The sequence below is a fragment of the Homo sapiens genome, chromosome 7 (assembly GCF_000001405.40).
Source record: "Homo sapiens chromosome 7, GRCh38.p14 Primary Assembly".
NCBI classification, from domain to species: Eukaryota; Metazoa; Chordata; class Mammalia; order Primates; family Hominidae; genus Homo; species Homo sapiens.
This window is the reverse complement of record NC_000007.14, coordinates 95,150,029-95,172,873: the sequence shown is the minus strand read 5'-3', so window position 1 is coordinate 95,172,873 and position 22,845 is coordinate 95,150,029. Positions and strand designations below refer to the sequence as shown.

Genomic DNA, 22,845 nt, shown 5'->3' with positions numbered 1-22,845 from the left:
TGATCCATTAATCTATATTACTATTCTTATACCTCAACCAGATTGCCTTGATTAGTGATGCTTTCAGGCAGGGAAAGTCCTCCGAAATTTTTTTTAACAATAACATCTACAAAATAATCTTCTAAAATTTTTACTAGGGTTATGTTTAATCTACAGACTAATTTAGGGAAAGTTGAAATCTTAACAATATTGAATATTATAATACATTGAACATGGTCTACTTCTTCCCTCATTTAAATTGTCTTTGTGTTCTGTCAGCAATATTTTGTTGTTTTAAGTGTGGAAGTCTGCAATATATTGTTAGATTTACCTTTAAGTATTTAATATTTTGGATGCTGTCATCAATGTTATTTTCAATCTGAATTTTCAATTATTAATGTTGATAGTATATACACTCTGATTTCTGCACATCAACTTCATCTTCTGTAACATGATTGGACAACTTCATCTTCTATAACATGATTGGACTCAGTTATCAGTTCAAGTAGCATCTTTTGTAGATACTTTAGGATTTTCTTCATGGTCATCTGTGTATAAATGACCATATTGCCTGTGAATAAAGAGTTTTACTTCCTCCTTTTCATTCTATGGGCTTTCAATTAGTTATTACTGTCTCAGTGAATTAGCTATGGCCTCTGGTACAATCTTGAATGGAAGTGGTGAGGGTAGAGATATTTGCATTGTTCTTAATACCAAGAGAAAAGCATTAGGTCTTTCACCATTAAGAATGTTATTAGTTGCAGGCTTCACTAAGATCCTATTTATCTCATTGAGGAAATTCCCTTCTATTTCAAGTTTCCTGAGAGCTTTTTTAAAAAAATCTACATCTATTGAGAAGAACAAATGACTTTTACCTTAATCCTATCAGTAAGAAAAATTCCATGGGTTGATTCATAAACATTAAATCAACCATACATTCAAACAATAAATGTCACCTGGCTATTGGATTTATAATCCAATTTGGACTTCTGTATTTACATTCATGAGGAATATTGGTTTGTGATAGTTTGTATTTTAATGCCTTTTAAAAATTATACTATCATAGCAACATTGGCTTCATAAAAGTAGTTGAGAAGTATACCATCTTCTATGTTCTGAAAGAGTATATGTTGAGTTGGTATTATTTCTCCATCTAATGCTAAGATTCACCAGTGAAACAAACAATTTTCTTTTTAAGAGGATCTTAAATCTAAACTCATCTTCATGTATACACATAAACAATTTTTTCTTGAGTGAACTTTGGTAATTTTTCATAGCACTGTCTTCCATAAAATTTAACCATTTAGTCTAACTTGTTGTATTCACTGGCATAAAGTTCTTCATAATATTGGTTAATCCTTAAAGTATCTGTGGAATATGTAATTACACCTTCTCATTCTAACTTGTGTCTTTGTTCTTTTTATATCAAACAAGTCTGACTAAAGATTTACTAACTTTATGTTTTCAAAACTGACTTTTAAAATTTATTTTGTCTAATATCAATATAACCACACTAGTGCTCTTTTGATTAATGCTAGCGTGACACATTTTTTCTATCCTGTTACTTTTAACCTATTTGAGACTTACTTTCTAAAAATATAATATGACAATCTCTGCCTTTAAATTGGTCATTAGACCATTTACATTTAAGAAATTCCTGATAAGTTTGGGTTTAAAGCTACCATTGTGCTGTTAGTTTTCTATACATCTCTTCATTTTTTGTTCCCCTGTGCTCTTTTTCTTTTTTGCATTTTTTGGATAAAGTACTTTTATAATTATGTTTTATCCTTGTTGTATAACTCTTTATTGGTATAACTCTTTGCTGGGGTTTCTTCAGTGTTTATTTATGTCTTATAGCATACCTCTTCAATTTATTTCAGTCTGTCTCCAAGTAATATACTACTACTTCATGCACAGCATAATCACCTTACAAAAGTATACTTCCATGTTGTCATAAAAACCGACATGCTATTGTTCTAAATTTTACTTCTCGATATTATAAATCTCAAACAACACAGTCATGTCCTTTGTTTTAAAAAGTTAATAATCCTTTAAATAATTTTTTAAAAAATGAAGTAGCCTATATTTACCCACATAATTTCTATTTCTCTTCATTTCCTTCTGTAGGTCTAGAATTTCGTTTTATATTATTTACATTATTAAAGACTTCCCCTGACATTTCTTATAATAGTATTCTCCAGGTAATGAATTCTTTTAGCTTCTGTATAGAAGGTCTTCATTTCATCTTCAATTTTGAAAGCTATTTCCTTGAGTATAAAATTCCAATTTTTCTTTCAAAACTTTTAAATTATTATTCACTTTCCTTGGTGATGTATTATTTCTACTGCAAAGTCTACTGTATTCTCATCTTTGGTTCACTGTACACAATATGCCTTTCTTCTCAGAATGCTTTTATAATTTTCTTCTTTACTACTGATTTCAAGTATTTTGATTATGATGTCTCTTCATGTAGTTTTCATCATATTCCTTCTATTTGGGATTTCTTGAATGTCTTGGATCTGTGATATTATAAATCTTAAAAATTTCATCAAATTTGAAAAATTTTCAGCCATTATCTCTTCAGTTATCTTTTCTAGCACCTCTCTCATTCTAACCTTCTGAGATTCCAAAAGCGTATATTAGTAGCTTATAATTATGCCACAGCCTCTTGAAGTTCTGTTCATCCTTTCCTGTCTTTTATTTCTGTGTTTAAATTTTGATACTTTCTATTGTAGTATGTCTTAAAATTAACTAATTTTTTCTTCTGCATATTTGAATCTGTTATCCCATCCAATGTACATTTCATAACACATATGTTTCATTTTAGAAGTTGGAGTAGAACCTTCTTTTTATCTTTTCTGTATCTACTTATCATACTCAGCCCTTTTGCTACCTTATTGTATTTTTGAAATCTAATTATAACAACTATTTTAATGTTTTCATCTACTGCTTTTATTTCTAACATTGCTGGATCTGTTTCAATTAATTTTTCCACTGATTGTGGCTCATATTTTCCTCATTCTTTGCATGCCCAGAAATTGTTGACTGCATGCCAGATATAAAGATATTTTTTGTAATACAATAAGTATTCTTGAGTATTCCTCTGGGACAATTAAAGTACTAAAAAACAAATCTTTCTGAGGCTTGCTTTTAAGGCTTTTGAATGTGGGATCAGAGCTACATTTAGTTTGAGGGTAAGTTCTATTAATTTTTAAATTTTTTAATTGATATAAACATTTGTACATATTTATGGGATAAAAGTGACATTTTCTTACATGCTATACTGTATAATGACCAAATCAGGGTATCTGGAGTCTTCATTACCTCTACTATTTATCATTTCTACGTGCTGGGAACATTTCAAGTGCTCTGTTCTAGCTATTTTGTAATATACATACATTGTTATTAACTTTCTGCTACTGAACATTAAATCTTATTTCTTCTAGGGACTGTATTTTTGTACATTTTAAGCAACCTCTCTTCATCCGCCCACCCACACCCCTACACTCTTCCCAGCCTCTGGTAACTATCATTCTACTCTCTACCTCTATAAGATCAACATTTTTAGCTCCTATATAGGACTGAAAACATGTCATAGTTGTCTCTCTGTGTCTGGCTTATTTCAGTTAACATAATGACCTCCAGTTCCCATCCACGTTGCTACAAATGACATGATTCACCTTTTTTATGGCAAAATAGTATTTCACCGTGTATATATACCACTTAAAAAAATCCATTCATCCTTTGATGGACACTTAGGTAGGTTGATTCCATATCACTGCTATTGTGAATAGTGCTGCAATAAACACTGAGATGCTGCCATCTCTTTGATATACTGATTTCTTTTCTTTAAATAAACACTTAGTAGCAGGACTGCTGGATCATTTGGTAGTTCTATTTTTAGTTTTTTGAGAAGTCTCCTTACTGTTTTCCCTAATGACTGTATTAACTTATATCCCCAGCAGTGGTGTGTAAGAGTTCCTTTTTCTCCACATCCTTGTCAGCGTCTGTTACCTTTTGTCTCTTTAATAACAGCCATTCTAATTGGGGTAAGCGGATATCTTAGTACAGTTTTATTTTGCATTTCTCTGATGATTACTGATGTTGAGCATCTTCACATATATCAGTCATTTCTATGTCTTATTTTGAGAAATGTCTATTCATATCCTTTGCCGACTTTTTAATGAGACTATTTTTGCTTTTTTACTGTTGCTTTGAGTTCCTTTAATATTCTAGATATTAGAATCTTGTTGAACAAATAGTTTATAAATATTTTCTCCCATTCAACAGGCTGTCTCTTCACTCTGTTGTTTCCTTTGCTGTGCAGAAGTCTTTTAGATTAATATAGTCCCACTTATCCTTTTTTTTTTTCATTGCCTGTGCTTCTGAGGTCTTAGCCATAAAGTATTTGCCTAGACCAATGTCCTGAAGTGTTTCCTCTATGCTTCCTTCTAGTTGTTTTGCAGATGTGGGGCTTACATTTCAGTCTTTAATCCATATTGAGTTGATTTTTATATATAGTGAGGGATAAGGGTCCAGTTTCATTCTCCTGCAAATAGATAAGCAATTTTCCCAGCATGATTTATTGAAGAGGGTGCCCTTTCCCCAATGTATGTTCTTGGTGTCTTTGTCAAAAATCAGTTGGCCATAAAGGTGTGAATTTGTTTCTGGGTCCTCCATTCTGTTTTATTGGTCTGTGTTTCTGTTTTTATACCAATATCTTGCTGTTCTGGTTACTAAAGCCTTGTGATACATTTTGAAGTCAGGTAATGTGATGCCTCCAACTTTGTTCTTTTTGCACAGAATCACTTTGGTATTTGAGCCGTACTTGGTTTCTTACACATTTTAGGATCTTTTTTCTATTTCTGTGAAAAATGACATTGATATTTAGACAGGGATTGTACTGAATCAGTAGACTGCTCTGGGGAGTGTGGTCATTTTAACAACGTTAATTCTCCTAATCCATGAGCATGGGCTCTTTGTTTTGTTTGTGTCCTCTTCAATTTTTTTCATCAGTGTTTGTAGTTTTCCTTGTGAAGGTCTTTCATCTCCTTGGTTAAACTTATTCCTAGGTATTTTTTTTTTAACTATTGTAAATTTGGTTGTCTTCTTGTGTTCTTTCTCAGCTAGTTCATTATTTTTGTATAGAAACAGCACTTATTTTCTGTATGCTGATTTTGTAACCTGTGACTAACTTTACTGAATTTGTTTTATCAGATCTAAGAGTTTTCTCGTGGAGTCTTCAAATTTTTCTAGCTATAAGATCACATCATCTGAAAAGAGGGACCGTTTGACATTCTCTTTTCTTATTCAGATGCCTTTTATTTCTTTCTCTTGCCTGATTACTCTGGCTAGGACTTCCAGTACTATGTTGAATAGGAATGGTGAAAGTGGGCATTCTTGTCTTGTTCCAGCTCTTAGAGAAAAGGCTTTCAGCTTTTCCCCACTCAATACAATGTTAGCTGTGAGTTTGTCATATGTGGCCTTTATTATGTTGAGGTATTGATATGGTTTGGCTGTGTCCCCACCCAAATCTCATCTTCAATTGTTACGCCCACAATTCCCACATGTCATGGGAGGAACCTGGTGGGAAGTGATTGAATTATGGGGACAGGTCTTTCCTGTGCTGTTCTTGTGATAGTGAATGGGTCTCACGAGATAAGACGGTTTTAAAAATGGGAGTTTCCCTACATAAGCACTCTCTCTTTGCCTGCTGTCATCCATGTAAGATGTAAGATGTGACTTGCTCCTCCTTGCCTTCCACCATGATTGTGAGGCCTCCCCCAGCCACATGGAACTGTAAGTTGACTAAATCTCTTTCTTTTGTAAAATGCCCAGTCTCAGGTATGTCTTCAGCAGCAGCATGAAAATGGACTAATACAGGTTTTTTCCTTCTATGCGTGTTTTGTTGAGGGTTTTCATCATGAAGGGATACTGAATTTTATCAAATGTTTTTTCTGCATCTACTGAGATGATCATATGGTTTTTGTCCTTCATTCTGTTGATGTGATGTAGCATATTTTATTGATTTGCATATGTTGAGCCATTCTTGTATCCCTGGGATAAATCCCACTTAATCATGGTGTATTATCTTTTTAATGTACTGTTGGACTTGGTTTGCTAGTATTTCGCTGAGAAATTTTGCCTCTGTGTTCATTGGGAATATTGGCCTGCAGTTTTCCTTTTGGTTCTGTCCTTATCTCCTTTTGGTATCAGGGTAATGCTTGCCTCATAGAAAGAATCAGGGAGAAGTTCCTCTGCTTCAATTTTTTGGAATAGTTTGAGGAGAACTGGTGTTAGTTCTTGTTTGAAAGTTTGCTAGAATTTGGCATTTAAGCCATCCAGTCCTGGACTTTTCTTTGTTGGGAGAATTTTTATTACTGATTCAATCTTGTTACTCATTATTGGTCTGTTCCAGTTTTCTATTTCTTCCTGATTCAATCTTGGTAGGCTACATATATGTATCCAGAAATTTATCCAGTTTGTCTAAGTTTTCTAGTTTGTTTAACTTGCTTTATTTTTAACAGTTCTTCCTTTAGCTTATCTATCTTCTCATAAATTTTACTTATACACAGCAAAAAGCAGCTAGTGACACTTTCAACAATGGCTAGAAATCTTATGAGTTAAATGTCCCAGTCAATATTCTACTTTCCATATTACTAGAGGTAAGTTTTGTTAAATGTTCTGTTATTACATAATGAAGATACTCTTTCTTCTAATTTTCTTTCTTTTTTTTTTTTTTTTTTGAAATGGAGTTTCACTCTTGTTGCCCAGGCTGGAGTGCAATGGTGCATCTCGGCTCACTGCAACCTCTGCCTCCCAGGTTCAAGTGATTCTCCTGCCTCAGCCTCCCAAGTAGCTGGGATTACAGGCATGTGCCACCACACCTGGCTAATTTTGTATATTTTTAGTAGAGACGGGGTTTTACTATGTTGGCCAGGCTGGTCTCGAATTCCTGACCTCAGATGATCCACCTGCCTCAGCTTCCCAAAATGATGGGATTCCAGGCATGAGCCACTGCGCCTGACCCAATTTTCAATAACATTTATAGTTTTCTTCTTTAAGCCCTCACCAGCTTCCTCCTCACAGACCATCAGTTTTCTCCCAGCAATCACTGTAAGATCTCTTTGGCTTTTACTAATACTCTCCTCATAGTCCTTCCAGCCTCACTAACAGTCCAGTCCCAAAGCTACTCCCACATTTTCAGTTTTTGTTAAACTGGAGCCCACATTCAGGTACCAAAATATGTGTAAGTTGTAGCTGCTGATACAAATTACCCCAAAACTTATAAACAGTTACTATCTTCCATAGTTTCTGTGAGTCAAGAATTCAAGGAAGGCTTGTCTGTTCAATTGTGGCTTGGTGATTCTCACAAAATTCAACCAGTTGTTAGCTGAAGCTGCAGGTATCTGAATGCTTTAGTAAGGCTGGAAGATCTTCAAAGGTGCCTCCCCACATGTCTGGTTAAGTTAGTGCTGGCTGCTGGTAGGCCCAACGTCTTCCCTGTGTGGGCATCTTCAAAAGGGTATTTGAAAGCCTCCTGATATGGCAGCTACATTTCCCTAAAACTGGTGATCCAAAAGAGCAGGATGAAAGCCACAGTGCCTTTTATAACCTAGCCTAAAAAGTCACAGATCATTACTTTCATATTCAAATTATCATACAGACTAGACAGGAATCAATACAGTAGAAAACCCAAAAGAAAGTCAATAACCAGGTGGAGAGGATCAGAAGAGGATCAGTAAATGAATGCTATGTAGAAAACATGGTAATTGAGATAGAGTGAATTTGAGTTTGGACAACATAAATATGAGAAAAGCTCATTCATTGAAGAATTGATATTTGAACTGAGACTTGATAAGGTAGAAGCAGCCAATTGTATGTCATGTGACATGGAGTTTTTTGGGGGAAGGGGGCAAAGCAGGAAAGTGGGGCAGAAGACAGGGAATGGCACAAATAAAGGATAATACTTGGAGTATATTAAATTTGATGTTCCTTTTAGAATGCCATATGAAGATGTCAAGTAGGAAGCTGGATATACTATTCTTAAGCTCTAGGAAGAGAGAATGGAGCTAGAAATAAAAACAGAAAATAGAGAATAAAGCATGGAACAGTTAAAATAGGCCATGCCTGAAAAAAAAAAAAAAAAAAAAGAAAAGAAAAGAAAAAAAACCATGGTAATCTGGAAGAGAAAATTAAAGAAACTCTTATACTAGCAAAAATTCAAACAGATGGAGATCCTGAGAGAAAATAAGATTCTAGAGGATATGCCCAGGAAATCTAAGCCCCATTTAATACTGGTTTGAGAAGAGAGGCCAAAGACAATGCAGAAGAAATAAAGCAAATAACCAAAGCATAATAGAAACTTTCTGAAATCCAAGTCTTCAGATTGAATCCCAAGCAGAATTTCACAAAACCAAATAAACAAACACAGATCTAGTTACAGTCTGATAAAAATTACAAAAGCCCAATTATAAGAGAAAAAAATCCAAAAGAGGTAAAAAAAGAAAATACTATAAAGGATTACAAATCATATTAACATGAAACTTTTCATTACCAGTTGTAAATATTAATGGACAATGGAGGTAAATGGAAATTAAAGCAATCAGATTCCACTATACACCTATTTGAATGGTCAAAATCCAAAACACTGACAACAAATGCTGGCAAGGATGTGGAGCAATAGGAACTCTCACTCATTGCTGATAGGAATACAAAATGGTATAGCCAGTTTGAAGATGGGTTGGTGGTTTCTTGCAAAACTAAACATACACTTACCACATGATATAGCAATTATGCTCCATGCTTGGTATTTACCCAGTAGAAAACTTATGTCCACACAAAAACCTGCACATGGGGCCAGGCGCAGTGGCTCACACCTGTGATCCTAGCACTTTGGGAGGCTAAGGTGGGTGGATTACCTGAGGTCAGGAGTTCAAGACCAGCCTGGCCAACAGGGCAAAACCCTGTCTCTACTAAAAATACAAAATTAGCTGGATGTGGTGGTGGATGCCTGTAATCCAGCTACTTGCGAGGCTGAGGCAGGAGAACTGCTTGAACCCAGGAGGCAGAGATTGCAATGAGTTGAGACTGCGCCACTGCACTCCAGCCTGGGTGACAGAGCAAGACTCTGTCTCAAAAAATAACAACTACAAAAAACAAAACAAAACAAAAAAAACCCCTGCACATGGAAGTTTATACAGGTTGAGCATCCCACATCAAAATATCTGAAATCCAAAATGTTCAGAACACTCAGAACTTTTTGAGCACTGACATGACACCCAAAGGAAATATTCATTAGAGCATTTCAGATTTCGAATTTTCACATTAGGGAGGCTCAACTACTAAGTATATAATGCAAATATTTTAATATGCCAAAACAATCTGAAATCGGAAACACTTCTGGTTGCAAGCATTTAACATAAGGGATACTCAACCTGTACTAGAGTTAAGCAGAATAAGGTCAATTTCTTTTTCCATGATAGCCCTTCATTTACTTAAAAACTGTAATTATGTCCTTCCATGAGAGTAATGATGAACAGAGCAGACTGAGGAAGTGAGAATGTGAAAACAGACAGACCAGTTAAGAAGACATTTGAAGACTTTTGAAATTTGTACAAGGCTGAAAATAATAACACAAGATTACGCAGTCAACAGAGGGGAAAAAAGGGATGGCTATGGTTTCATGTAACTACAAATTCTTTTCCAACTGAGAAATGTTCTTATGAGTTGAATGTATATCTTACCTATTTCATTTTAAAATTTACTTTAAAGTCTAATGGACAGCTTCAAAACCAAGTTCTATACAGACATGGGAAAGTGCTGTCTTAAGAACACATAGTGATCTTCAAAAAGACAATCACATTTACTGAATGGGCCCACCCACACAACTCAGAGAGCACCACACAGTTTTGCAATTATTTTACATTCTTTTCTCAGGACTGTGGATATTCTAGAAACATCAACATAGCGCCCACAGAAGTAGTTTAGGTAATATTCCTTAAGGCATCCCTTTAGCATTAGAAGATGATTTACAGTTGAAAAAGCCTAAAGTCTAAAACTTAAATCATGCTTCAGCAAAATTAGACATACTGCAATAATATCCTAATGTTACTGCCTGTATAGCAATGTTAACTCATTAATATTTTCAGAATATTTAGCAGTTTCATTTTGATAATGAGAACACCCAACCATTTTCATCATTACACATACTAAATAATGTTTCCTTAATGTTTCTTACACAAGATGTATGGAAAAGTATATGATATAAGCAATACTGAAGATAAATAAGTAACCTATAAGCAAAAAAAAGACCTGATTTCAAACCTTGACTTCAACTAGCTCTAAACTGCTTCTTACTTGTTTTCCAATATACAATATTCACAATCCCAAGTTTGAATATAAATTTCAAGGTCCAAAAAAAATGCACCCTAAGTGCATTAAGTTGGAAAAGTTATAATTCATCAAACATTGGTCATGGCTGATTCCTTAAAAGAATGTATACATTTAAAAAATATACTTATCTTTATTCAACCTGATTGTCTAAAAAACACAGAAAATTGAATATATGTATAATCATTTCAAGTATTGTATAACTGTTTTCCTTAAAAAGATTTGGGACCTAATTCATATTTATTGAGGTTTTAACTAGAAATTATATCTTCCTGGAAACCATAGTATTTTAGAAAGATATGAAGACAAGTGCTTGTTTTTGTATCTTTCTAAAATACTATGATTTGTAATTTTAAATTCTATTTTCATGAACTAATTATAATAAAGGTGAAAATATTTAAAACTAAAAGCAAAGTTTTACTATTCAGGTAAAATTGTCATTGTAATTACATTTATTTGCAGGTTAAACTATAGAAAATTAAAATTCAACTAAAGTAACAACATGGTGTATATTAGAAGGCACGTATTTACCTGACGTTGCCCTTGGTGTTTCTGAGAACTGTTGCTGCAAAATTCTGTGTCACACCCACCAAGCTGATTCCATCCACTTCCACAATCTGGTCATTGACTTGTATTCTTTAGAAAGAGGAAAAAATTACCCACATAAATTACATAAAAAATTAATTTATGTAATAATCATTTCCAACAAATCAGTTGACAAAATATGTGATTTTTAAGATACTCTTTTTGATCCAAAATCTATCTTTTACATACAGTCAGTTCTGCTTCCTGTTATCAGTGGGTTCCACATTTGTGGATTCAACCAATTGTGGATATAAAATATTTTGAAAAAATAAAAAAAGTAATACAATAAAAAGTACAAAGTAAAAAACTTAACTACACAGCATTTGCATTGTATTACATATTAGAAGTAATCCAGAGACGATTTAAACTATTTGAAAGATGTGCACAGGTTATATGCAAATACTATCTCTATACTATACTGTAAGAGACTTGAGCATCGGCAGATTTTGGTATCCACTGAGGTCTTACAAAGAATCACCTGTGGATTCCCAGGGATGACTATAGAAGCCCCAGATCTTAGTCAAACACTTAATGTTTTAAAAAGACTATTTCCATTAAAAACTGGGCAAAAGACACAAACAGACATTTCCCAAAAGAAGACATACAAATGACCAACAAACATAAAACAATGCTCCACTTCACTAATCATCAGAGAAATGCAAATCAAAACCGCAGTGAGTTACCATCTCACACCAGTCAGAATGGCTATTACTAAAAAGTTAAAAAAAAAACAAACAGATGCTGGGAAGAATGTGGAGAAGAGGGAATGCTTATCCACTATTGGGAGGAATATAAATTAGTTCAGCCACTGTGGAAAGCAGTTTAAAGATTTCTCAAAGAACTTAAAACAGAACTACCATGTGATCCAGTAATCCCATTACTGGGTATATATTCAAAAGAAAACAAACCTTTCTACCAAAATGATACATGCATGTTCACTGCAGCACTGTTCACAACAGCAAAGACATGGAATCAACCTAAATGTCCACAAATGGTGGATGAGATAAAGAAACTGTGGTAGATATACACTGTGGAATACTATGTAGCCATAAAAAAGAATGAAATCATGCCCTTTACAGCAACACGGATGCATCTGGAGGCCATTATCCTAAGCAAACTAACACAGGAACAGAAAATCAAATACCGCACATTCTCACTTATAAGTGTAAGTTAAACATTGGGAACTCATGGACATAAAGGCGGCAACAATAGAAACTGGGGACTACTAGAGGGGAAAGGAAGAGAGGGAAGCAAGGGCTGAAAAACTAAATATTGGGTACTATGCCTGGTACCTAGGCGACAGGATCATTCATATCCCAAACCTCAGCCTCACACAATATACCCAGGTAACAAATCTGCACATGTACCCCCTGAATCAAAAATACAAGTTGAAAAAAAAAATAAAAATAAAGACTGTTTTAAAGGATAGAAACAAGTAATACTAAATGGAGACATTCAGTTTACCAAACATACATATTCCTATCACAAAAATTGATAACTGCAAATGATATATTTACATATTTATATCATTTTTGTCCTTAATAACTGTACATAAAACATAAGAGATCCAGATGAAATATGCTTTGGGCCTAATACCTAGTCTCACAACACACCTATCTTCCCTAAGGAAAAACTTAACCAGGAATTACAGGGAATCCTTCCCATTCAAGGTGTATACTTCAAATATGTAATGCTCATTCATGTGCATCTGTATACTTACATATACATACAAGTGTTTTTGTGTGTGTTCATACTTATGTTTATGAGCATTGTATGTATTGATACTGTTTATTGTATAATACTTTTACATTTCTATATATATTTTATATATATCATTTTTATTCTTCATAATGAAATACTTCAAACATGAGAAATGTAGTCAAACAGATAATAAACTTTCATGTACCCAATACTCACCTTTATAAAATCCTAGCATTGTGCTATATTTGAGTCACATTTTTTCTTTCTTTCTTTCTTTTTTTTTTTTTTTTTGAGACAATGTCTCCCTCTGTCACCCAGGCTGGAGTGCAGTGGTGTGATCTTGGCTCACTACAACCTCCGCCTCCCGGGTTCAAGAGATTCTCCTGCCTCAGCCTCCTGAATAGCTGGGATTACAGGCATGCACCACCAAGCCCGGCTAATGTTTTTTTGTATTTTTAGTAGAGATGGGGTTTCATCATGTTGGTCAGGCTGGTCTTGAACTCCTGACCTTGTGATCTTCCCGCCTCGGCCTCCCAAAATGCTGGGATTACAGGTGTGAGCCACCACGGTCGGCCCGAGTCATATTTTTTCTAAAGAAGCACATTACAGAAAAGTTGAAGCCCATTTATTATTTGTCTCTAGTTTTATTCTCTTCATTGCTTATACAGAGGTAATCACCACACTAATTAAATGATGGGTTGACAGGTATAGCAAACAACCGTGGCACATGTATACCTATGTAACAAACCTGTACGTTCTGCACATGTACCCCAGAACTTGAAGTATAATACTAATAATAATAATAAAAGAATAAAGTGTTTGACCTTTCTACGGATTTTTTGAAACAGGATCTATATATATGCATGAATAGGCATAATTTACATACAATCGTTTATTTTCAAAAATTATGATGTATACCTCTCTTTTTGCAACTTAGTTTGCTTCATTCAGCATTACATTTGAGATTTAACCATGACTATTATAACTGTAATTCTACCTAATTTATTTTAACAACTATATAGTATCATCTTTTATCAATATGCCAAAATGTATTTATTCATTATTTTGCAGCTGGACAATTGTGTTGTTTTCCAATTTAGGTATAATAAAATATTGCTGTAATAGTCAACTTCATACATGCCTCCTTATGCACATGAATGAGTTTTCTCCAGGATATATACCCAGAAATAAAATTCCTGAGTCAAAGAAAAGATTATAAGCATTTTCAATTTTATTAGACATTAACAAATCTCCATGCCCTCAGGAATACTTGGTATGCTCAGATCCTTTAAGTACTGCCAATCATACAGCTGTAAAAAGATATTACAATGTGATTTCAATTGCATTTCACTGATTACTAGTGCGGGTAAACATTTTTTCATATGTTTGTAAGTCACCTGTCTACTTCCACAAATTGTCAAATCATTTCTTTTACCCATTTGTTACACTGTTGTTGTTGGGTTGAGTGACTTTTCTTATTAACTTAAATGAGATATCTTTATATATCTTGGATATTAATATTTCCTTAAACATATTGCAAATACTTTCACCCTATCTGTAGCTTGTCTTTTTATATATCTTTGAAACATGGTGGTTTAGAGGAAAATAATTTTCTAAAGTATATCCACATTTGTAAGTAGGTATTTTTTTGTGTTTTGTTTAAGAAGTACTTTTCTGCCCAAAGTTTATAAAAAGATTCTATATTTTCTTCCTTTTTTGGGGAGGTGGGGGATGGGGTCTCACTATGTTGCCTAGGCTGCTCTCAAACTCCTCGTCTCAAGTGATCCTCCTGCCTTGGCATCCCAAAGTGCTAGGATCACAGCTGTGAGCCACTGCCTTGGGCCTATGTTTTCTTCAAAATGCATTAACATTCTGATTTTCTGTATTTAGGCAGTTATCCACCTGGAAATTTTCTAAAATTATAATATGTGTTGGCAATCTAATTTTATTTTTTTTCAAATGTATAAACAACTGGCCAAACAACATTTAATAGAGTCCATTTCCCCCCCAGAGTTAAGTAGTGCAATATATGTCAAGTTTTCAAATGTGCATCATCATGTTTGTAGGTTCCCTATAGGTTCTATTTATCTCTTTGTTTATCCTTGCATCAATGCTACATTGTCTTAGCTAATAAAGCTTTATAACTAGTTTTTGCATTTCATAGGGCAATTCTCCTAAAATGGTTCATTTTCTTCAAATTTGTCTGAGTCATTCTTGATCCTTTGCTCTTCCTAATTAGTTTTGGGTTTATTTACCAAGTAATATGAAAATATTTGTTGGAGTTTTAATGAAATCATATTGATTTTAAAGATTCCCTTGGGGAGAACTGACAACTTTATCGTATTGACTTTTCCCTTCAAAGAAAATTTGAGTGTTACCATAAGCACCCCTGGGTAAGAGTGGCATAAATCACATTTTGATCCCAAATGTTAAGAAAAGTTATTCAAAGCTTGGAAATAAGGTCAAAAGTAGGGCAACATATTCTTTCAATGTCATATGAATGCATTAACAGATCCACATAAGGATAATTAAGGGAAATTTACTTATTTGATTCACTGTTTACTACTGATTAAAGATCCTAGTTATAGCAGCAGCCACTCCAGACGGCCTGCCGCTGCCATCACGCCGACTGCAGCAGGGAGGTGCTGCCGAGGATACATGCTCCATGGAGCTCCAGGCAGCAGGGGACAAGCGTAAGCCCTTCTCCTTCTGAGGTGGGGTGGGAACTCCCCGGGTGCAGCTGCAGCTGCCCAAATTGCAGCTGCAGACCTGGGCCTCTGCCTCCTTGGAGGAGGCAGGAGCCTAACCCTCCTGGGAAGGGCTGCAGGTGCCCGAGCTGTGGCTGCAGAATGGAGCTTCCCTTTACTTTTGGGGGACCAGGAGCTCCACTTCCCTAGGGTCAAGGGAGCAGCCCATATTGCGGCTGCAGACCCAGGTATCCCTGCACTCTGGGGGGGGAGAGGGGGAGCTGAGAAGGCCCCCCTGCCCCTGCAGGCTCAGAAGTGCCTGCTCCCGCTGCTTGGCTTCTCCCTGCTGTGGGCACCTGCTCCCATCTTGGAGCAAATCGGGGTCAAGCCCATGTGCCATGAACAGCAGGGGGAGGCAGACAGATACTTGGGCAGAAGAGGGCAGATCCCTGAGAGAAGGCCTGAAGCCTGGGGACAGGACTGGCAGTGCTGATTTGGAGGGCAAACTCGTGGTGGTTTTTCCTGGATCTGCCCATGGCTGCCCATGGACTGATCAGCATGCACTTCCCCTCTAATAGGCCTATAAAAGCCCCAGGCTCAGCCAGAGCAGAGCAGATGATGGATGACCAGCTGCAGAGAAGAGCTACCCTTTCTGCTGACAGCAGAAGATGTCCCAACAACCAGCAGAAGAGAGAAGCTATCCATTCTAGGGCCTCTTCTCTGCTGAGAGCTTCAGAAACCTGCAGAGACATCGAGACTACCAGCTGCAGAGTGGAACAATCCACTCCAGGGCCACCTCTCTGCTGAGAGCTAAGAAGACAATGAGATGACCTGCCTGCTAGGAGGAGCTTCCCTCTCCAGGGTCTCCTTTCTGCTAGGAGCTGAACTCTCATTGGAACATCCTGGCTGTGGAAAGGAGCTACCCTCTGCAGGTCTCCTGTGTGCTGTTCTATTGATCAATAAAGCTCCCCTTCATCTCGCTCATCCTCCACTTGGCTCTGTACCTCATGCTTCCTAGTTGCAGGACAAGAACTCGGGACCTACCAAATGGCAGAGCTAAAAGAGCTATAACACAGGACTGAAACATGCCCCCTGCTTGCCACATTGAGGGCAAAGAGAAGGAGATAAGATCTGTGCCTTCTCAGGCAGCCCAGACCTGGGAGCTCCCTGAGCCAGGGCTGTGACTCCCTCTTTGGGGTCCTGTGGTGCCTAGTATCTCCAAGCTTCCAGGTGCCACTGCATTTCCCGGTGCCAGCTGGGGAAGCTTCCTGCAGTGCACCTGGTCTGGCCACAGCCTCACAGAGAGTCAGTGCCTGTGCCAGCACCTGTAACTGCCCGCCCCATTGCAGCAGCCGGCATGTCCGATTGCACACTGGCTGAACCCCATGCTCCCTCACACACCCCTTGCCACTCCATGCCTGACTTACCCTTGGCAGGTATGGGATCCAGGCCAGTAGTGTCAGCCAAGTAAAGCCTGCCAGGCCAGGTAGGCAGAACAAACCCAGCGGGCCTAAGCAAGACTTGGGCAAAGACATCACCAGCCAGAAAAACAATATCCCAAGAATCTTGTGACACTAGGCATAGTGAAGTTCTTTATTAATTTGTAGATTTTTAACCTGGAAAATTCTAATATTTTCAACTATTAAAAAAGATAATCCCCAAAATAATGCTTTATTGTCATGTAAAATATTAAATAGATTGTATGTAACTTAGCTATATTATTCTAAGATAAAATTCATTAACTTGTCTTTAAGAAACTAGTTCCTAAAATGCACTTTGAACTGTATTTATAATCTCACTAGTCCTCTACTTAATTAGGAAGTGGAATAAAATATTTGATATATTTTCTTTTTATATTTACAAAAGTCACCATTTAAATTCTTTGAATTTTAACATGTTATACTTTTGGAGGATCCACTGAGACACTAAAGTGGGTTCATAAAGCCAACCAAACTGTGATAGCACAGAAATGTACTTCAGGAGCTGTTTAGGAGGAGAGACTTTTCTTTCTCCTCAAAGTGATTCTCAAATAGCAATAGAGTCCTGGTGCAGTGGCTCATGCCTACAATCGAGCACTTTGGGAGGCCAAGGTGGGAGAATTGTTTGAGCCCAGGAGTTCAAGATCAGCATAGGCAACATAGCGAGACCTCATCTCTACAAAAAATACAGAAATTAGCCAGGTGTGCCGGCATGTGCTGTGTTTTTTGTCCAGCTACTTGGGAGGCTGAAGTGGAGGGATTTCTTGAAACTGGGAGGTCAAGACTGAAGTAAGCCATGATCCTGCCACTATACTCCTACATGGGGGAAAGAGCAAGACTCTGTCTCAAAAAAAAAAAAAAAAAAAGAAAAAAAGAAAAAAAAGGCAATAGAACTGTACCTTTGCTGTGATGCTAGTCTACTACAAGTTGGCTTTTTTCTTTAAATTTTGAATTTTTCATTTTCTTTTCTAGTTCTTCACCATTTTGGTTCTGGATATAGTTTCCACTAGAAGATGATAATGATGATAATGATAATCCCCATGCATGCATTAATAATTGGGAATGTAATTTTATAATCTGAACTTTAAAGACCTCTGTTAAGATTAAAGGGATTTCTTGTCCTTCATATGAGACATGACAAGGAATGAGAGTTGCATTTTTTAAATTCTTTGTTTCTCTATTTGTGTATCCAAATAATTTCATAAAACATTTTATAACTACTAGAAGGGAAAATAATCCTTTGAAATCTTGAACAGTGTATTTTGGTGTTTCCTTGATTACTTAATCTGTTGCAGAGATTGTTATAATTAAAGCTACAATTTTCTCTGTGTTGCTATAACTCAGAAGTCATTCTCTCTCATTCTGTATGAAGTATTTTCCTAAGAAGAGTATTAATAAATAAAATTTAGAAGTCTCTGAATTTTAAGGAGCTAAGATATAATTGGTTTACATAGTATAAGAAGTTCATGAATCTATAGTAATATCTAAAGAAAACTTCAAATGTACTAGTAATTTAGGGAAAAAATTCTTCTTAAAGGATCTGCTAGCAGCTTAGAAAGATTTTAATTTACGAATCTAAATTCATGCAATAAAAGTGAATCTTTGTAGACTATGTGTTAAGCCACAAGACAAGCCTCAACAAATTTTTAAAAAATGAAATCACATCAACTATCTTCTCAGACCACAATGGAATATAACTAAAAACCAGTAACAAGAGAAACTTTTTAAAAAATGTACAAATACAAGAAAATTTAAAACTATGCTCCTGAACAAACACTGGATCAATGATGAAATTAAGCAGCAAATATAAAAATTTATTGAAACAAATGAAAATGGAAACACAACTTACCAAAACCTATGGTAGATAGCAAATGCAGTGCTAAGAGGAAAGTTGATACCCATAAACTCTACATAAAAAAAAATACAAAGAAAAAAACCACAACTAAAAATGAGTAGAAGGAAACATATAATAAAAACTAGAATTAAACAAAATGGACACTAAAAAAGCAACCAAGAAAAGGATAAGATCAAAATAAACAAAATCAGAAACAGAAACAGAAAACAGACATTACAACTAATACTACAGAAATACAAAAGTTCATCAAAGACTATTATAAGCAACTAAATCTTAATGAACTGGAAAGTTGGAGGAAATGGATAAATTTCTAGATACACATATATAGCCTACTGAGAGTGAATCAGGAAGAAATAAAAAACTGGAACAGATCAATAATAAGTAATGAGATTGACTCAGTAATAAAGTCTCCCAACAAAGAAATGTCCAGGACTGGATGGCTTCAATGCCAAATTCTACCAAACTTTCAAGCAAGAACTAACAACAATTCTCCTCATTCGATGCATGTAAGAAAATATCACATGTACCACATAAATATGTACCAATATAAGGTATCAATTAAAAACTGTTTAAAAATTTAAAGCTAAAAACTGATTCTTTGGACAAATCAGACTGATTTAAAAATTTTGTCTGAAATACATAGCTGTGTTTTCTCCATAATTTTGTAGGGATGTTGAGTTTCTGTTTTCAGAAAATACTAGTTAACCTGAACTTCTTAAAATTCTGATAATAGTGTATTGATCAGATAAGCTAATGATATCCATACCTAAAGCTTAAAATGATAAAAAAGTAAAACTGTTTGACTGAACTGAATCATGATTCTAACAATGTTTTATATCAATAATTACATTTTTTAGTGTCCTCTGAAATGTGATTTCTAAGATTCTTGTGTACTTAACTTCAAGATCTTGAATAGCAAGCATAGCGCTTACAATATACAACTCTACTTCTTACCTTAAAATGTTACGATGTTACCATGATTTTATATCATGTTAATGAATGTGCTCATTCTTGTCACTTGAAGACATAAATATAATGTATGTGAGGCTGGGCGCGCAGTGGCTCATGCGTGTAATCCCAGCATTTTGGGAGGCTGAGGTGAGTGAATCATTTGAGGTCAGGAGTTCGAGACCAGCCTGGCCAATATGGTGAAACTCTACCTCTATTAAAAATAAAAAAATTAGCCGGATATGGTGGCAGGTGCCTGTAGTCTCAGCTACTTGGGAGGCTGAGGCAGGAGAATCGGTTTGAACCCAGGAGGTGAAGGTTGCAGTGAGCTGAGATAGTGCCACTGCACTCCAGCCTGGAGGACAGAGTGAGACTGTCTCTGCCTCAAAGAAAAAAAAAAAAAAAAAAAAGGGTGTGGCTGTAGAGAATGATATTTCCTAGTCACCTAAATTGCTTGTGCATGATAGGCATTATTATCAAGTTCCTATCCACCAGAGAAGGTTAAATACAAGTTAATTAACAATGGTAATATGGGTAACTGAGTCTATTTTAGCAGGGACAGTTTTAAGAAAAAGTGTAACTATGTAGGTGATGTAATAGGATAAATGTTTATTTTTCAAGAAAAGGGACAGAATTTTAGTTCTCAGATAAAGTGAAAGGTTGCTCCAGAATTAAAAAGAAACAAAATGAGGACAAAAACTTGAGCGTACATAGTGAGGAGAGGAAGGTTTAAATAAGAATTTTTATTTGCCTTGATTTATAACATATGGGACAAAACGGAAGCTGTAAATGGGTTAAAAATTTGACACAATTCACTCAACTTTGAAAGCCTTATAATATAAATTAGAAAGAAGAATGCATGGATCTTTACTGTAAAATATTAACTTAATGTAAACATAGAATAGATTACATATCAAAATAACAATTTACCTGGAATTATTTAGCATTCTCTTATTAAGGGATTTTAAGAGATTATGCTTCTCATCAGAATGATTTTCAGGCCAGGCGCAGTGGCTCACTTCTGTAATCCCAGCACTGTGGAAAGCCAAGGCGGGTGGATCACGAGGTCAAGAGATGGAGACCATCCTGGCCAACATGGTGAAACCCCGTCTCTACTAAAAATACAAAAATTAGCCCCACGTGGTGGCACGCACCTGTAGTCCCAGCTACTCAGGAAGGTGAGGCAGGAGAATTGCTTGAACCTGGGAGGTGGAGGTTGCAGTGAGCCAAGATTGTGCTACTGCATTCTAGCCTGGTGACAGAGTGAGACACAGTCTCAAAAAAAAAAAAAAAAAAAAAAAAAAAAAGATTCTCAGTACTATGTGCTGACATTATCACTTCCTTTATTAATGTAAAAAATAAAAACAAACTTATAAATAAGCAAAGCTTCCTACAGTAACATTACCCTTCTCCTACCTGTTTTGGAAATTAATAAACTTTCCTTTTGTAGAGTTTTTTTATGTTCAGAACAAAATTAAGTGGGAAATTTGGAGAGCTTCTCTATAGATCCTGTCTGCACACATGCACAGTCTCCCCCCATCAACCCATCAACATCTTACATGATAGTGGTTCACATATTACAGAAAAAAAAAAAAACCTTTAAAGACACATCATTATTGTTCAAAGCCCACAGCTGACATAAGCATTCACTCTTGGTATTGCACATTCTACGGGTTTTGACAAATGTATGATGGATGACATGTATCCACCATTATAGTATCATACAGAATGGTTTCATTGCCCTAAAAAAATCCTCTGTGCTCCACTTAGTCATCCCTCCCTCCCACCAAATCCCCGGCAAACAATGATCTTTTTACTGTCTCCATAGTTTTGCATTTGCAAGAAAGTCAGATAATAGGAATTATAAAGTATGTAGGCTTTTCACATTAGCTTCCTTCATTTACTGATATGCATTCTTCCATGTCTTCCATGGCTTGACAGCTCATTTCTTTTTAGCACTGAATAATATTCCAATGTCTGGATCTACCACACTTTTTACATTCACCCAGTGTAGGACATCCTGGTGGCTTCCAAACTGGAGTAGTTATAAATAAAACTGCTATAAACATCTATGTGTAAGTTTTTGTGTGGACAAAAGTTTTCAGCTGGGTCAGATCATGAGAGTGTGTTTATTTTCATTAAAGAACTGTCAGTCTGTCCCCCAGAGTGGCTGTACCATTTTGCATTCCCACTAGCAATGAATGAGACACCTTATTGCTCTACATCCTTGTCAGCATTTGTTGTCAGTGTTTTGAATTTTAGCTATTGTAACAGGTATATAGTGGTATCTCATTATTGTTTTAAATAGCAATTCTCTCATAACATGATATTAAACAACTTCTCATATGCTTACTTGTTTTCTGTATATCTTCTTTGGTGAAACGTATGATCAGGTCTTTTGAGCATTTTAAAATCAAGTTATAGTTTTCTTATTATTTAGGTTTTAAGAGCTTTTCGTATACTTTAAATAACAGTCCTTTATTAGTTTTATCTGTTTTAAATATTTGTCCTAGTCTATAGCTTCTCTTCTCATTCCGTTAACACTACTTATCACAAAACACAAGTTTTTGATTTAAAAGAAGTGCAGCTTATCAATTATTTCTTTCATAGATTATGCCTTTGGTGTTGTTTCTAAAAAATCATTGCCAGCCGGACGCGGTGGCTCATGCCTGTAATCCCAGCACTTTGGGGGCTCAGACGGGCAGATAACAAGGTCAGGAGTTCGAGATCAGCATGGCCAATACGGTGAAACTCCGTCTCTACTGAAAATACAAAAAAATTAGCCAGGCACGGTGGCACACTCCTATAATCCCAGCTACTCAGGAGGCTGAGGCAGGAGAATTGCTTGAACTTGGGAGGCACAGGTTGCAGTGAGCCGAGATTGTGCCACGGCACTCCAGCCTGGGCGACAGAGCAAGACTCCGTCTCAAAAATAAAAAATAAAAAGTCATTGCCATACCTAAGCTTACCTAGATATTCTGTGTTGTCATTTAGGAGTTTTGCTTTTGCATTTTACATTTAGGTCTGCAATTCATTTTGAGTTAATTCTTGTGAAGGGTGTAAGGTACTTCTTCAGATTTTTTTTTTTTTTTTTGGCAGGGGGATGTCCAGTTATTCCAGTACTATTGTTGAAAAGACTGTATTTTCTCTAATGTATTGCTTTTGCTCCTTTGCAAGGTTCAGTTGAGTATATTTATGTGGGTCTATTTCTGGGCTTTCT

General features: G+C 35.9%; 1 protein-coding gene and 1 long non-coding RNA gene across 48 annotated transcripts in view; one reads left to right on the top strand and one right to left on the bottom strand.

The window, feature by feature from the left end:
* The window catches only part of PPP1R9A (protein phosphatase 1 regulatory subunit 9A), a 389,180-nt gene that overhangs the window by 123,542 nt on the left and 242,793 nt on the right, over nt 1-22,845 (bottom strand). For all 44 annotated transcript variants that reach the window (XM_047420574.1, XM_047420585.1, XM_047420580.1 and 41 more), the window contains one exon: nt 10,903-11,007. In XM_047420574.1, the coding sequence (XP_047276530.1) occupies nt 10,903-11,007 (105 nt within the window). The remainder of the gene's footprint in view (nt 1-10,902; nt 11,008-22,845) is intronic.
* Nucleotides 1-22,845, top strand: part of PPP1R9A-AS1 (PPP1R9A antisense RNA 1) — a 178,641-nt gene that overhangs the window by 41,459 nt on the left and 114,337 nt on the right. For 2 of the 4 annotated variants that reach the window (NR_183325.1, NR_183326.1), the window contains one exon: nt 15,923-18,161. The exons of the other annotated variants lie outside the window; for them this stretch is intronic. This is a non-coding gene — a long non-coding RNA (PPP1R9A antisense RNA 1). Of the gene's footprint in view, nt 1-15,922; nt 18,162-22,845 lie in introns of those variants that run through there. 4 annotated transcript variants of the gene reach the window in all.